General features: G+C 43.2%; 1 protein-coding gene across 13 annotated transcripts in view; it reads right to left on the reverse strand.

Moving 5' to 3' along the window:
- Positions 1–11,795: 11,795 nt before the first annotated feature.
- The window catches only part of XPNPEP1 (X-prolyl aminopeptidase 1), a 58,746-nt gene continuing 53,720 nt past the window's right edge, over positions 11,796–16,821 (reverse strand). For 12 of the 13 annotated variants that reach the window (NM_001324128.2, NM_001324132.2, NM_001324134.2 and 9 more), the window contains 2 exons: positions 15,644–15,742; positions 11,796–12,342 (listed from right to left, as the gene is read on the reverse strand). In NM_001324128.2, the coding sequence (NP_001311057.1) occupies positions 12,214–12,342; positions 15,644–15,742 (228 nt within the window). In that variant the 3' untranslated portion in view covers positions 11,796–12,213. Of the gene's footprint in view, positions 12,343–14,558; positions 14,617–15,643; positions 15,743–16,821 lie in introns of all 13 variants that reach the window. The other variant, NM_001324133.2, reaches the window with a different exon arrangement.

Consider the following 16,821-nt stretch of genomic DNA (forward strand, 5'->3'; position numbering starts at 1 on the left):
CATGATGCCCGAGCAGGCTTGGTTAGATTTTCTATAGTGAGATCTGTGATTTGTTTGTTTCACATTTCAACAACTCAGAAATGAGGATGCATCTTAGAGTCATGAGGTCTCGTGTGAAAACTTTGACACCTTCTGGAGAGATCAAGAAGCACGAGCATTAACGTGTCTCACTTTAAATAGGTGAAGTGCATGATGTGTGAATTATATCTCAATAAGGCTACACTTAGTTTTGTTTAAAGCTGTCTCAGGTTGGGTTGGGGAACATGGATGTATACACAAAGCTAACATTCAAGGATACACTCTACAGGAGCTTTCTCTTTCCATCCTCATAGCCTAATGAGGAGACATCGCCGCTAACCTCACATTACAGAGCAGGAAATGGGGGCTCAGAGAGGCTGTGCTCTTGCCCAGGGACTCACAGCTGGTACACAGTGCCATCTGCTTTAGAACCCATGTTCTAAACCACTATATACTCTTCTTTCACATGTTACTTCTATAAAGGAAAAATAAAAGAAAAATTTCTGTTGTAAGACAACAAACTTTCTTTTTTGATTTAAAAAAAAAAAAGTTATGGTAGGAAGTATCCAAGATGTCCTCCAATAGGTGAATGTATAAACAAACCTTGTGTATCTGTAACAAGAACATTATTCCATGATAAAAAGAAATAAGCTAACAAGCCATGAAAGGACATGGATGAACCTGAAATACATATTGCTAAGTGACAGAAGCCAGCATGAAAAATTCTACATGCTGTTTGATTCCTATTATATGGTATCTGGAAAAAGCAAAACTATAGAGACAGTAAAAAAAAAAAAAAAAAAAAAAAATCACTGGTTGCCAGGACCTTACGGGGAAATAGGAGGTTGAAATCAGGGAAGCCCAGGGGATATTTTTTTCAGGTGGTGAAACTATTCTGTATGATTGTGTAATTGTGGATACATGACACTATGCATTTATCAAAACATACTGAACCTTACAGCACACAGAGTGAACCATAATGTATGCAAATTGAAAAAAAAAAACCATTTAGGAGGTCAAAGGAATCCCAGGATGGAATGCAGTATGTGATAAAATGATCTAACTATATTAAAATGTATGAAACTGTAATACCTTACTGAAAGAAGGGGAGGGGGTGAGAAGGAAGGTGCTGACCTAAGCAACTTTGGAAATAAATGAGTGGAGTCTGTAAAACCGAAGCAAAAATAATTGCATATAAACACTATACTCGGCCGGGTGTGGTGGCTCATGCCTGTAATCCCAGCATTTTGGGAGGCCGAGGCAGGCGGATCACGAGGTCAGCAGAACGAGACCATCCTGGCTAACAGGGTGAAACCCCATCTCTACTAAAAAATACAAAAAATTAGCCAGGCGTGGTGGCTGGCACCTGTAGTACCAGCTACTCGGGAGGCTGAGGCAGGAGAACGGCGTGAACCCGGGAGGCGGAGCTTGCAGTGAGCGGAGATGGCGCCACTGCACTCCAGCCTGGGCGACAGAGCAAGATTCCGTCTAAAAAAAAAAAAAAACCACCGTACTCAAGTTGATAAAGCTGTTCCCCACAGTATACAGGTTAGCAATCTTAACACTGCTACACATGTACACTAGAATTAAGCAATTAAGTGAAATATAAGTGAAATGGATGGCGGATGGTGGGAGCCAAGTTCTCACTGATGAAGTAGGAAGTCACAGAGAAGCAAGGGGAGATGATCATGAATTAGAGTTGGAGACATCAGTGTGAACTCATGTTTAGTTTAATATAGAAACAGATGGTTACATATAGAAACACTGAAAGATAGTTGTGTGTGTATATATATATATACATATACATATGCATACCTCTTTGTCCTTGCTCTCAGCTGAGACGGCCTAGCAGCAAGGACAAGCCAGTAAGAGAACCTATCTAGTGCTCAGATCTTGGTTTTATTTATTTATTTATTTATTTATGAGATGGAGTTTCACTCTTGTCATCCAGGCTGAAGTGCAGTGGCATGATCTTGGTTCACTGCAACCTCCACTTCCTGGGTTCAAGTGATTCTCCAGCCTCAGCCTCCCGAGTAGCTGGGATTACAGGTGCCCACCACCAGGCCCAGCTAATTTTTGTATTTTTAGTAGAGACAAGGTGTAATTTTTGTATTTTTAGTACAGACAGGGTTTTGCCATGTTGGCCAGGCTGGTCTCGAACTCCTGACCCCAGGTGATCTGCCCGCCTCGGCCTCCTAAACTGCTGGGATTACAGTTGTGAGCCACCATGCCCAGCCTGGATCTTGGTTTTAAATACCTTTCTCCGGTAAAAGGCACTAGAGCTTCTTAAAGAAATGATTGATTCTAGAATTGGAGCAGGAAATACACAAGATGAGCCTGGAGCAATTTGTAGTGCCAGAAAGTAAAGAAGTGCTTACAACACACACACACACACACACACACACACACACACACACGATGGGATATATCAAAGGAACACAGGAGACAGCTGAAAGAGCCCTCAGTGGCCAAAGCTGGAACAATTTAAAGAAAGCAGTATTGATTATAATCCAAAGTATAAAATAAATATCTGCAAGCCTATACAAATATGAAAAAATAAAAGAATGTGGAAAAAGAGACAAATCTGTGCAGAAGCATTCTAAATAATTTACATATATTCTGTGCCCTCAAGAAAGTTGAACATAACTTCCACTCCTTAAGTATGGGCTACACGTAGTGACTTTCCAAGAATACAGGATAAGCAGGGGGTTGAAAGAGTCACTTTCCTATGGAGAAATATGACAAACACTGCCTCAGCCAGATGATCAAGGTTAACCTCATCAGTCAAAAGCCATGTTGATAGTATGTACCCTTGACATGATGTGACAAAAATGGCACTTTACCTCCATCGACTTCCGCCTATAAAACTAAAACCACAGTCTAATCATGAGAAAAATATTTAAAATCCCAATATAAGGATATTCCACAAAATATTTGACCAGTATTCCTCAAAACTGTCCAGGTCATCAAAAATGAAGAAAATCTAAGAAACTGTCACAGCCTAAGAAGACAGGACAACTAAATATAATGAGGGACTCCGGATGGGATTCTGGAAGAGAAAAAGGACATTAGCTAAAAACTAGGGAAATCTGAATAAAGTGCAGCCTTTAGTTACTAATACTGCGATAACATTGGTTCGTTAATTGTGACAGATGTACTATACTAAGATCTGAATAATAGTGAAAACTAGGTGTGGAGCATAAAGAAACTCTCTGTACTTTCTTCGCAGTAAATCTAAAACTGTTCTAAATAATAAAGTTTGTTTTTAAAAATAATGATATAGGAAATTTGGGAGGTATTTGGGAAGGAAGAAATAAGGGACAATAAATAGAGAATTCAAAACAGAATTGCACATCTCCTTCTTGTTTAAAAATATAGGTGCCCTGTCACGATAAACAACTAACATTTACTGAGAGCTGATTACATGCCTGACAGCATGCTAAGTGATTTGTGCATATTATTTCTTTTAATCCTCACAAATATGCTGTCAGAATATACCATCACCCTCATTTTGTAAAGGATGAAACTGGAGGTCAGAGAAGATACATAATTTACCCAACCAAGGTCACCAGCTAGGAAGTAATGGGACTGAATTCAATTCTGCTCCCATCATCCATTCTGTTGTAAACTTGTTTGGAATGTCTTCATCAATTCTTAAATGTATCCATCAATAAATATTTATTGAGTAGCTCTTATGTGCCTGGTCCTGAGCAATAGCTGGGGCTGGGCCCCAAGGAACTACAAGTCTAGTTGGAGAGACATGGGAAAGGTTAAATTTCATAAAGAGAAAGTCAATTACAGTTTGTGAAGAAAATGAATGCCAGCAAAACTTAGAGCAAGGACTTGTAGCTGGAATAATTGGGAAACACTTCATGAAGAAGCTATGTGGGAATTGCACTAGATTCTAAAGATGGGAAGGAATTCAAAGTTGAAGGACAGGAGGAAGCCCTCCAGGAAGAAAGGCTGGAGCCAATGACTGTACCTATCTGCCTGCAGAATAGGTGTTAAGGAAGTAGCGCAATCCACCTGGTGCAAACAGCCCTGGCCTGAGAGCCAGGAGACCAGAAATTGATGTGAAGTTGGTCTTAGCCTTCAATCTGGACCTCATATGGTTCACTCTTTTTTTGTTATTGTTGTTGTTGTTGTTTGTCGAGATGGAGTCTTGCTCTATCACCCAGGCTGGAGTACAGTGGCGAGATCTGGGCTCACTGCAACCTCCACCTCCCAGGTTCAAGCAATTCTCCTGCCTCAGCCTCCCGAGTAGCTGGGATTACAGGCTTGTGCCACCATGCCCAGCTGATTTTTGTAATTTTTTTTAGTAGAGACTGGGTTTCGCCATGTTGGCCAGTCTAGTTTCAAACTCCTGACCTTGTGATCTGCCTACCTCAGCCTCCCAAAGTGCTGGGATTACAATCATGAGCCACCATACCCGGCCCTTCCAACACTCTTTAAAAAAAAAAAGAAGAAAAAAAGGATGTTTAGAATCCACCCTAACAATTAGAATACAGAGCATTCTGGACTGAGAAAGAGATAAGAACATTAGCTAGGTGCACACCTGTAATCCCAGCTACTTGGGAGGCTGAAGAGGAAGGATTGCGTGAGCCCAGGAGTTTGAGGTTACAGTGAGCTATGATTGTGCCACTGCACTCCAACCTGGACAACAGAGTGAGACCCTCTCTGTAAATAAGTAAGAAAGAGATCCCCAACCAAATGACCTAGCTTGTCTTTTGCAGCTTCTACTTTCAGAGTGTGCAGCGGGGAACGCTTAAGCCTCAGGTGTCTGTGATGCTGCTCAGCCGCCAACCTTTCCCTGGCCTCCAGGCTGCCAGGAAGGGGATCCTGGCTGGGTACCTGTCCTTACAGAGCTTGCAGTGCAGTAAGAAGCCACAGCTTCTGCCCGAGAACCAATTTTAGATCACACATGTGTTTTGTTAGACCTACATGAGATTTTGTTTTAGTTTGTAAAATGTTACATTGGTTGTAAATGTTTAAAAACTAGGATATGCCCACATACACAGTTTCAGCTCCTCTTTAAAATCCTGTTTCAGGCCAGATGTGATGGCTCACGCCTATAATGCCAGCACTTAGGGAGACAGAGGCGGTAGGATACTACCTTGAGCCCAGGAGTTAGACACCTGCCTGGGCAGCATAGCAAGACCATGTTCTCCACAAAAAGTAAAAAAGACATAAAAATAGTAAAATCACATCTTCACTCTGCCCCTGTGAGCTCTCTTTATCCCAAGGCAGACAGGCTGGAGATGGGACTTCCTGCCACCTTTACATAGAGTACTGCTCTCCCATCCATCATAGGCTAATCCTACCAGCTCTAACTCATTCCCTTGCCCACCTGGCCACTGTTGGCACTGTTTCTTTTTAAATTTTGGGGTTTGTTTATTATTGTACTTTAAGTTCTGGTATGCATGTGCAGAACATGCAGGTTTGTTACATAAGTACACATGTGCCATGGTGGTTTGCTGCACTCATCAACCCATCATCCAGGTCTTGAGCCCCGCATGCATTAGGGATTTGTCCTTATGGTTTCCCTCCCCTTGCCCCCCACCCCCCGACAGGCCCCAGTGTGTGATGTTCCCCTCCCTGTGTCCATGTGTTCTCATTGTTCAACTCCTACTTGTGAGTGAGAACACGAGATGTTTGGTTTTCTGTTCCTGTGTTAGTTTGCTGAGAATGATGGTTTCCAGCTTCATCCATGTCCCTGCAAAGGACATGAACTCATTCTTTTTAATGGCTGCATAGTATTCCATGGTGTATATGTGCCACATTTTCTTTATCCACTCTATCATTGATCGGCATTTGGGTTGGTTCCAAGTCTTTGCTATTGTAAATAGTGCCACAATAAACATACGTGTGCATGTGTCTTTATAGAATGATTTGTAATCCTTTGGGTATATACCCAGTAATGGGATTGCTGGGTTAAACTTTGTTATTAAACTTAACACAGATGCAAAACACCATGTAAAGCAAACATGGGGCTTATTGAATTACATAATGAGCACCCTTGTCACTACAACTAATGTCATTTTATTTTCTTCTGGCCTAAACTGTTGCTTTGAAAATTTCTGATGGCAATATAATTTTTTTTTCACCATAAGTTACTTGGTCTTTTGTCTGATTAACCAGGAAATTTTTTTTAGGTACAGTAATTCTACCATAAGTATGCCCTGTTGGCTATTCTAGGTTTATTTATTGAGTTATACGGCATGCCTCTTCAAAGTGTAGTTTCGAACTTTTTTTTATCTCAGGAGTGTTTTCTTATAGTTTTTTATATTTGTTCTGTTCCCTTTAGCTTTCTTCTTTGTTGAAACCTATTATGTAAATGTTGAATGTTGTTGCCTATCTTCTATATTTCTTTCACTTAAATAATTTTTATTCATTTTGGTTTCAATTCTCCTTTTAGTCATCTCCTGTTTATCTTAAGACATTATCTGTGGTGTTTATTCATTCCTGTGTTCCTCCTACTTTAGTCTTCATTATTTCAATTGATTTTTTTCTCATTCTTTCCTGAGTTCTCTCACTTAATTCCTCAGCTTCTCTAATTCTCTGTTGTATATTGTTTTTGCATACACTGTTTTTAAACCTGTAAATGTGCTTTGAACATTACAGATTTTCATCTGTTTATGGGCATGTCTCTGTGATGTGTTTCATTGTAGGCACGTCATTCTGCACCTTATTTTCCTTTCTAAGTTTACATAGCATTTTACCTCAACCTTTTTTTCTGTTTCTTATTTTTATGTGAAATTTTTCTGAACTTCTGGGAGACTTTAGAATAGTTTTTTTCTTATTTAGGGCTCTAGAGCTCCCTTTTCTGTTGATTTCCTGAAGTATTCAAAAATATAGCACTTACTTTTGGAGATCTCCTGGCTCTGTTCCCCTCCAAAAGAACCTTCTTTCTCCTTTGCCTCCGCTGTACCTGTCCTGCTCCTCTTTGGCTCCTATCCCTCAGCGTGGGGCTTGGTCGTGGGAGTTCCTGGGACGCTGACTGCTCCAGCCCCTGCAGGCCTTACCAAAAACCTCTCATACTCACCCACTGGAGGTGCAAACTGCTCCCAGTGTTAGTGGCTGTTCTCAGATTGGCTCCGTGAGATTCTGAGCTCCTGATGGCTATTGTGGGGTTCTGTTCTCAGGTCCATCAGATACCCCATCACTTCCTTCAGCTTCCTCCTGCACAGATGCTGATAATACGCTGGTTAGTCTTCACGTGCTCTTATTAAGGGTTTGTGGAGATGCTTGACACCTGTATATTTGGTGCAAAGCTCATCCCTGAATTTTAGTTTTGCTACCCCAGTTTATCCGTGTTTTTATGAAGTTATTTGGAGAGATTCAAACACTATGGCACAACTGCTGCCACCTTGCCAGGATCTGCATCGTTGTTCTTAATCCATGATTCTATGAATTTCTTAACTGCTGCACCAGCTACCTGCAGGAACTAGCAAGCACAGTATCCTTCCTCCCCTCTCGCAGCCCTCCCAGTCCCCCATCTTGTCTCTTGCTAGAGGCCAACGGTGCTTGAAAGATGCCCCAAAGCACTCTACTTTGTCTTCATATCATTACTGGTATAAACCCCCAGTTGCTGGGAAACACGAGGGCAACACCTCCCTCATGGCTTGTTAGTTCAACCTTGGTTCCTTTCACAATTGCCCACCCCTAACCGGGAATGAGCCTGATGAGGAACAACTGATGGTTACTGTCAGGCAGCCAGATGCCAGGCACAGCCCTCAAGCTAAAGAAGTGGTGAGAGCTGGGGTGGTGGGGGCAGCCCCCTCACTGGCAGGAGGCACAGATGGACTCTTTCCAGAAGGCGAACAAGCGTCCCACAAGTCAGTCCCTGGAGTGTTCACAGCAGGGGCCCCACATCTGTCCCCTTCCTTGAATCCTCCTACCTTATACATAAAACTTCACCAGGGAATACAGTGAGCAAGACAAAGAAACGAGATCAGCTTCCTTCTTTAAATTCAACACAATGCCCATTTTCCTACCCAACATTTATTTTATCATTTATTTAAAAGTGAGGAAGAGTGATTTTTTTTTTTTTATCTACATTTTTATCTCCTCATCTTCCCTCTGAGCTCTGGCACATTAGAGTTTTATTCTGGTCCTCAATCCTTATGGGGCCATCTTGCCTAGTTTATGTCTCTTGGACTTAATGCCAAGACAAAGCAGGTCCAGGCAGGAAGCTCCAAGCACCCAGCACCTGTTACCTTTGCTTCTCGGGCTACAGCCAATTAAATCAAACTTTGCTCTGAGGCTGCCTTGGGGAAGAACAGGTTTAACAGCCTGATGAACAGACAGTGGAGTTGCCGTCACACTTGAGTTACGACTATTTCAACTCCAAATCAACTGCGATTCATGCCTCCCATTTCCTCAGCAAGAGAAGACTTTGGGATATCAGAGAAGACAACAGCCTGAGTCCTAAGGGAAATCTTCTAACTTCCAGAGGAATGACAGATGAGAAACATGCTTAATACATTCTATCATTTGGGGAGAAATTTCTCTTTTAAGTCCAATGTTATGGTACATATTAGAAATATGACCAAGCATGGACAAAAGGCATTCAAGAATTGATCTTTGATGGATCAAAATATGTCCTATTATTGGGAGGCACTGCTTCTATGCTTTCCTGACCTCGTTAGAAATATACCGAGAGGCAGCAGTGAATCTTGCTTCCTCCCACATAGCACATTGAAATCAATGATCCTTGAGAGAAAAAAAAAAAAAAAAAGAGGAGGGTGGGAGACGAAAAGCAAACAAATGCTGGTTCATTTGTTTTTAGGCACTCTATGTAGGACCACCCTGGTTCTGAATGGTAAATATAGATTGTTTCATTTCATTTTCTGCTCCGCCAGGTGGAGAAAGTAATGGGCACTTACAGCCATGCTTTGGTAAATGGCCAAAGTATGCTTATATTTATTCATTTGTCAAAGCCATTCGAATTAAATATATGGTTTAGGATTTAAGGAGAGGATTCTGGGAAGATGGTAGGAAGCACTCGGAAAGTGTCTCTCCACCTAGACAACAATTGCACTGGCAGAATCTGCCTGATGTAACTACTTTAGAACTCTGGAGTCTACTGAACGCTTGCAACTTCCAGAGGACAACTTGGATGGTAAATGAACGTTAATTTCAATCCATTTCAGCTCTTAGCACAGTAGCAGCTACCAATGTCTACTCCTAACCCCTTGGCAGGAACTTATGCACACGTTCCCAGAGCAACTGGCATACAGCTTGTGGGAGCCAAAATGAACAAAAGGAAACTTGCCCTCCAAATACTGCAGACCTGTGTTCTGGTAACTGCTTCTGAACACAGAGACGCAGACAAAGACGTGGGCAGCCACTGTTGCTGTACATCCCATCCCCCGACTGTTAGAAGTCCCTTCTCCCCTTCTGGCTGAAGTGACTTCCAGAGGATTTAAAGGACCAGTACCCTTTTCCTGCCCTTCATTTTTCTTTTTCCCTCGTTGGGAGCCAGACATTAAGTAATAGGACATTCAAAAACAACTGCACATATAGGGGAAATTAGAGACTGACTGCACATATCCAGGGAAAGGCTCAAGCTCAGAAAAAAACCTGAGAAGACCTTAAGTTGATACCTCAGGCTGATACTTGGCCCACAGACTATCTACAACAATAAATAATAATAATAATAACACACATTAACAAAAAAGGGCAAACCCTAGGGAAAGAGGAAAATCTGATTTCCAGAGTTGCCACATTATTAGATTCAAATGTCCAATTGTCAACCAAAACTCACAAGGCATACAAAGAAACAGGAAAGTATGGCCCATTCAGAGGAAAAGAAAAATCCACAGAAAAAAAGGAAATATCAATAGAGACAGACAACATAAAAAGAAACCAAAATGAAATTCTGGAGCTGAAAAGTACAGTAACTGAAATGAAAAATTCACCAGAGGGATTCAAAGCACATATGAGCAGGCAAAAGAGAAAATCAGTGAACTTGAAGATAGGATAACAGAAATTTTGAGTCTGAAAAACAGAAAAAATATTAAAGGGAACAGAGCCTAGAAGACCTGTGGGACACCATCAAGCTGACCAAAATATACATTGTTAGAGTCCCAGGAGAAGGCAGAAAGCAGCAGAGAGAATATCTGAAGAAATAATGGCTGTATAATTCCCAAATCTGGTAAAAGACATGAATGTAAACATCCAAGAAACCCAATAAACCACAAGTAAGATTAACTCCAAGAGATACACACAAAAATACATTATAGTCGAGCTTCCAAAAGTCAAAAACAGAGAGAATCTTGAAAGCAGTGAGAGAAAAGCTACTTACCACGTAAAAGGGATCTTCAGTGAGATTACCTGCAGATTTCTCATCAGAAATTCTGGAGGCCAGAAGGCAGTGGGCCAATATTCAAAATGTTAAAAGAAAAAAAAAAAAAACTGACAACCAAAGAATCCTATATCCAGCAAAACTGCCCTTCAAAAGTGAGGGAGAAATTAAGAGGTTCCCAGGTAAACATAAGCTGAGGGAGTTCAGTACCACTAGACCCACCCTGCAAGAAATGCTTATAGGAGTTCTGCAAAGTACAATGAAAGGACACTAGACAGTAACCCAAAGCAGTATGAAGAAATAAAGATCTCAAGAAAAATAAATACATTGGGCAATTATAAAAACCAGTATTAGTGTACTGATAGCTTGTGATTCCAGTTTTTGTTTTCTATATGATTTAAGACTAATACATTTTTTAAAAAATTATGTCTAAATGCTAGTATTACTGTTTTTAAAAAGTTAATGAGGCTAGTTTTAAAACAATATAACCATACGATGGAATTAAGTCATTAAAAATAATTCAATCTAAAATATTGCCAAGTTAAAAGATAAAATTGTATACGTACAGAATAATTCACTGTTTGTAAATGTGATATGTTCATATATGGCATATTCTTTCATACATACACAAATAATCAGTATTTTAGTAAATTTTGAATACAAAAAAAAAAGGAGTCAGCAAAAAATATAAAGCAGATAATAGTGGTTATATCTAAGGAGTATGTCAGGTTGGATTAATAAAAAAGCAGACCCTAAAACAAGGATTTGCATGTAAATGGTTCATTCAGGATGGTACCAGGAAACACTAATGGGACAGGAAGAAAGTAGGACATGGAAGAGAAGAAAGAAAACAAAGGGTTGGTTATTGAGCAAGTTACCATGGTGGGCAAGTGGGGCTCAATCCCACTGGGAAACCCTGAGTGACAATGTAAGACATACCTCTGATATCTTAGCCAAAGGATGAGGAAGTCTATTTGCCCATCCCATCCCCAAACGTGATGGTCTGAGATCTCAGGGACATTAACTCTCCAACCCTTGGAGCTTGCCCCACATATACAAGTCAAAAGAAATCCTGCAGAATGGGAGTCGCAGGCACTTGTCACAGAATCCTGCCTACAAGTAACGGAACAATGAGAGCTGTGGCCATGTAGGTAAGACACTTGTGGCATCTGCTATAGGGTGAGTTATGGAAAACTGACTTTTGACATAATTTTTATTGTTTTTTGCATAGGAATGACATATTTTAAAATCAGGAAAAAAAACTGAGATAAAAACACCATAATATTAGGTTTTCTAGAGAAAAGAAAAAGCTTACAACTAAGCCCCCAAATGTGCGGGGAGGCCAGGGGTCTCTTCTCAAAGGGGCCCTTCCACCTAGGAAATGTCTGCCACAGAGCCAGCAGCCCTGGAGATCAGCTCACCCGACATGCCGGGGGACAGCACCATGAAGAAAGAGACAGCTAAGACAAAGCACAGTTCTGACATTTTTATTCACTGATCATAAATATAGTCTCATGAGCATTAAGGTGATCATGAATGATGTACTAGCACCTGGAACATGACCATCATGGAGCACTCACTGATTCCCCATCACTGGCCAAAGAAGTCGGGGCATCTTCCTTTCACCAAGTGTTCAACTTTGGAGGGACCCTCCTTCTGGTGCAGCAATTTTATTCTTGGCTTGTTCTCAACAATTAAAAAATCATAAAAGACTGAGTGTTTGCAATAAAATATCAAAGAGGATAAGAAGATTTTCTGTTCTTCTTAAAGTCTAAAGTAAAAAGGGGAGGTAGGGAAGAAGGAAAGGAAAGGGGAAAGATGTCAGGGATCTGCCACGTTTCTTCCTTCCTCCAGAGCATTTTACAAAAACAAAACCGGGGAGGTATTTATTAATGCTGTTTGGAGATGGGTTGCGTCTCTCTGATGAGCCACTCGAGAGCTTCCTGGCGGCCCTGTTTCTGCAATTCCTTCCCAATCACATCCCTGCAGGTCAGGTGGTAATTGTTGAGCCAGTCGCACTGCAGGGAAGAGAAGGACAGACACGGTATTCACCACTACATCTTTAACAACTGGCTACACAGGTCAACAGCAAAGGCCCCCATGTGCTAAGATCACAAGCTGAGAGAAAAGGTGTGCAACACCCTTTCTCCTTACTCACAGGTAAGTATTTTCCTTGTGTTCTGTTTCCCCGGAAATACATAGGACCAGACTTCATGGCTTCTGGTGAAAAGGCTCCCAGAACAGTTTACTATTATAGACAGCAGTCTCTAAGCCAGTAGCTCCTGCTCCCACCTGTGTGGCTTCATTCCCTTAAACCTGAGCCATCCTGGGAGGTGGTAAGTGGGGGAATAGCCCCGGACTCTGTGAGAACTCCTGCTGAGAGAGACACTCGAAGCTGTCCTGCCAACACACTGGGCTACATATCCTATATCCACTGAAAAAGCTGAATAAAAAACTAGGATCAGCCAAGCCCATGGGTGTCTTTTGAGTGTAGCTGCCTAGATGAACCCAAAACCTGCGGTGGTTAAAGACTGTGGTGCAGCAGAATGGCGCTGGGAGTAAACTTAGTTTTCAGACTCTCAACTCAACATGCCACAAGAGCAGGAGACAAAAAAGAGAGTGAAAGGAAGGACCTGCTGGCAGGACTTGGTGCCTGGGCAGGGGCTGATCCACTAGACATGATGGCAAAAGCTCTGAGGCAGGAAAAAGGGTGAACTCTCCTCCTTGGTTGTATACGGGAAAAGGTGAAGTCTGGAGTGAAGCAGGTTTTACCAAGAGGACAACAAGCCACTCTCATCACTGTCTATGGGGGTAGCTGTCTGGAAGCTGATGAGACTGATAGTGCCATGGCTGTGCTTGTCATAAATGAGTCAAAGGCCATTTTGGAGGGCAGCGATGTTACAGAAGTACTGCTTTCAGGGACTACAATCCAGCCAGGTACCAAAGCCCAGCTGGGGTCAGGATGGGCACACAAACCCATTAATTACAAGGGACTGAGGGCAGACAGATAGGGTGGTGTTACCAACTGGCTGTGACCCAGCCAGGGTTCCAATCCCTACTGAGAAGAGCCTAGTAGCCCCTTCTGGGAGTCAGGGAAGTGATGGGGGCAGGGGAGGATGTCAAAAGCAGGCAAACTGCTATGTGTCCACAGCAAGGCCAGCAGGGCTACAAAGCAGCCTACTGTCCAAAGCAGCTCAACAGTAAGGCAACGGCAGCATCCTGGTGTAAGCCTGGGGCCACAGCCAAACGCCCATGGCCCTTTTGGTTGGAAGTAGGGAGGGAAAAGTGGGAGTGTGGACAGCCTCGGTGGAGCCTGAGGAGCAGCACAAGGCCCTGACAGTCTGCAGCTGGCCATATTCATATCTGACCAAGGTCCTTTGCTGCCATCTGGTGATAAGTGATGACGATGCAGACCCAAACCAAAAACTCCCTAAAGTGACTCCAAAATAAAGGCTAAATAGTAAAGGGCAAATGACCAGATATTTTAAAAGCCAGATATTTTAAGAAGACATTATCTGCCCTACAAAGAGTAACTGGCCGAAAGAATAGTTCAATCATGTGGGCATGCAAGGTGCAGCAATGAAACACTGGGTAACACAGATCCCTGGTCTATGTCCAATGTCACGGGAGTAGACTGATTCTCCTTCGAGGAAAAATGGCCTGGCTTAAACTTCCTCATATACTACTTCCCTGGATAAAGGGGAATGTCATATGGGAGAAATGCCTCCTGATGGGTACACTTTATGTGGACAGGAAGGACTGCATGACCTAGAATTACTTGGCAGGAATCCATAGCCTTGGACTTCCAAGAGTGCGAAATGACTTATTACTGGAAAGCCCCTTGCTAAGTCCCTGGAAGCTGTGCCCAAGGGCCATTACAAGAGACACTGGTTCCTATGGGGCAGAGGGATTCTAAGCAGGGTGGGTCCCATGCCCACCTATGTGTTTTCATTTCCTCTCAGCTAAGGCAACACTTACAGGGGCTGGACAAGAGCCCCTGGACACTGGAAGGACTCTTCCTGCTGAAGAGACACACCAGACATTGTGCTGATAGGCTGAGTTTCCTTTTCCATATCCATCTACAAGCTGCATAACCCACCCGGTATCAGCAAGGCCCATGTGGGTCCTGTGAGTGGGAATGTTTAGCTGAACCAAGGGCACGGATGGTTAAGCAGAGGCGCTCAAGCACAGAGGAAAGCTAAGCAGGAAGTGGATGGACTTTCTCATCACCCACCTGTGAACTGGAACAGGCAGAAGAGGCTTCTAGCTGGGAGAATCCCATTCCACAGCTCCTGTGGAAGGGAAGGTCCTTAACCCCCAAAGACCCTTTCCTTTACAGTGTCAAGAACGAGGCCCAAGTGGGCGCCAGTGAGGAAATGTTCCTGCCTTGAGAGGCACTCAAAGGCCATTGGCTGCCTCAGATAACAAAATATTCTTATTCCGAGAGTAACCCACCGTGCTTACCCTGCCTTCGGCTCCCACCAGTCATTTGCTTTTCATTGGAACTTCTGACCCCTGCCTTGCTCTGGAATTTGTGTCCTCCTGGCTTCCAGCTTCCTGGTTTGGGAACTGTTTTGTCTGTCTAGTGCTAACAGTTCCTACCCCATTTCTGACCCTTGTTTCTGCTCTGACCTTGAACATCTGTGTGATTCTTCAGGCCTTTCTCATGTCCCCAGGACTGCCATCTGACCTGGCCTTACCAGTCCAGGGTCTGAAGGAGTTAAGACCCATAACCCTCTGAGCTGGGCAAGTAAGCACTGTTGTGCCCCAGGCTTTGTGAAGGGTTTCACTGCCCCAGAGTGACCACAGTAGTAACCGAGAAGGGCTGGTACTATCTTTCTCCTTGTCTGTGTGAAAACAGGACATACGATAATAGATTTTGCTTTCCATTTCCTTAATGTTTCATGTAACACAAGAAAACAATCTGGTATGTACAGTGGCCAAGAGGCCCCACCATCCATCTGGCTTTTTGTAGGGACACACATAGGCTCATATTTGCTAAACACGCCTCACTGCAGCTATGGAGGAATAGTACAGCCAAACAATGGCATACGAGTTCCACCCACAAACCCTACAGCCCCAGAATGGCTGCGGGAAACAGGACTATCTCCACCTGGAGGCCCAACAAATACAGGAAAAGCTCAGGAGTCCTCAGAAAACCTAGGGCTTTCAGACTCAACTGGCCTAGACCTCTAAATTTAAAAATTACAAAGTGAGACTGGATTAGAGAATTTAGGATTTAGAGGATGGATTAGAACTATTTAAGGTAGTCTCCACCTCCCCTAGTAACATGCCTGCCCACCAAGACTTCCCCATTACCTCTTTGTCTGTAAGAGAATCCACATCTATCATTTTGGTCTGAATTGGAACCAATGTTAGAGGTTCAAAGGTCAGGCTTCCCCGGTTATTAAAATTATACTGCGGGAGAAAGAAGAAAACAGATGCTTTTACTCCTCTTTACTATGCTGAAGCACCATGAGGTCATTCCACCAGCATGCCATCCCTCAGAGCCAGGGGTAACTGGGAGCCAAGAAGTGGTGAGCTGGTCACCACTTTTCACAGACACACAAGGAACCTGATGCCATTTTCCAAGAGCTCCTCCACTGGGCAAACAATGGCCTGTGCCATCAGGAAAGGCCAAACAAAGGGTGCTGAGGGGCTCCCAGCAACAGGTCCCAAGGCTAATGTCTACTGTGATAGGAAACAGGGGCAGGATATGGGGGTATCTGGGCTTAGGGGCATCTCTGGTTTTGGTTCTCCAGGATGCAGGGGTGTAAGTCCTCAAAATCATTTTTATAACAGTCAACTGTGTGGTCTGCCTTGACCCAGCCAGGCCCATCAGGCGACAACACATCTATCCACTGGAGCACACAAGAACATGTCGGGTTTCTGTTCATGGCAGCTTTTGGGAATAAGATGGGAGGTCACTTCCAAGAATAGTGACTTCCATGCCAAAGCAGAGAGCAGATCCCCGCAGTTAACCTCCTTGTAGACACAGGAAGCTACTTCCCTCCAATTGTTCAATTCCACCAATGGAGGAGGCACAAACAGGTCTTTTAGGTAAAGCCTAGAGCCTAAAACCCTGCAACCTTGGTAACACTGATGGGGGAAGAGGGTGAAACACCTGTCTTGTATTGCCTTTGAGGCTGACCCATGGATAACTCAGGGTTCCTCAACTTTACCTAATAAAAGTCACCTGGGGAGTGTGACAAAATTACAGCTTCCAGGCCCCCCACCCTGGAAATTCTAGGGTCTGGGAGGGGCCCTGGAAATTAGCGCCTTGAATAGGCACCCCTAGCAGAAGAGACAACAGGCCGCCTATAGTAAACTCAGAGCCCCAAATCATGTGAAGCAAGCATCAGCCTGAGGGTCTGTGAATCCCAGTTCTAGATCCCAGTTCATTAAGGATTTTCTTTCTGGCTTTGCAGGGAAGGAGTGTGGTTTCCAGGAAAGTCCCTGATATCTGGAGAAGAAGGCTCCATGTTGGCCCCAGAATG

Source organism: Homo sapiens, chromosome 10 (genome assembly GCF_000001405.40).
Source record: "Homo sapiens chromosome 10, GRCh38.p14 Primary Assembly".
Taxonomy (NCBI): domain Eukaryota; kingdom Metazoa; phylum Chordata; class Mammalia; order Primates; family Hominidae; genus Homo; species Homo sapiens.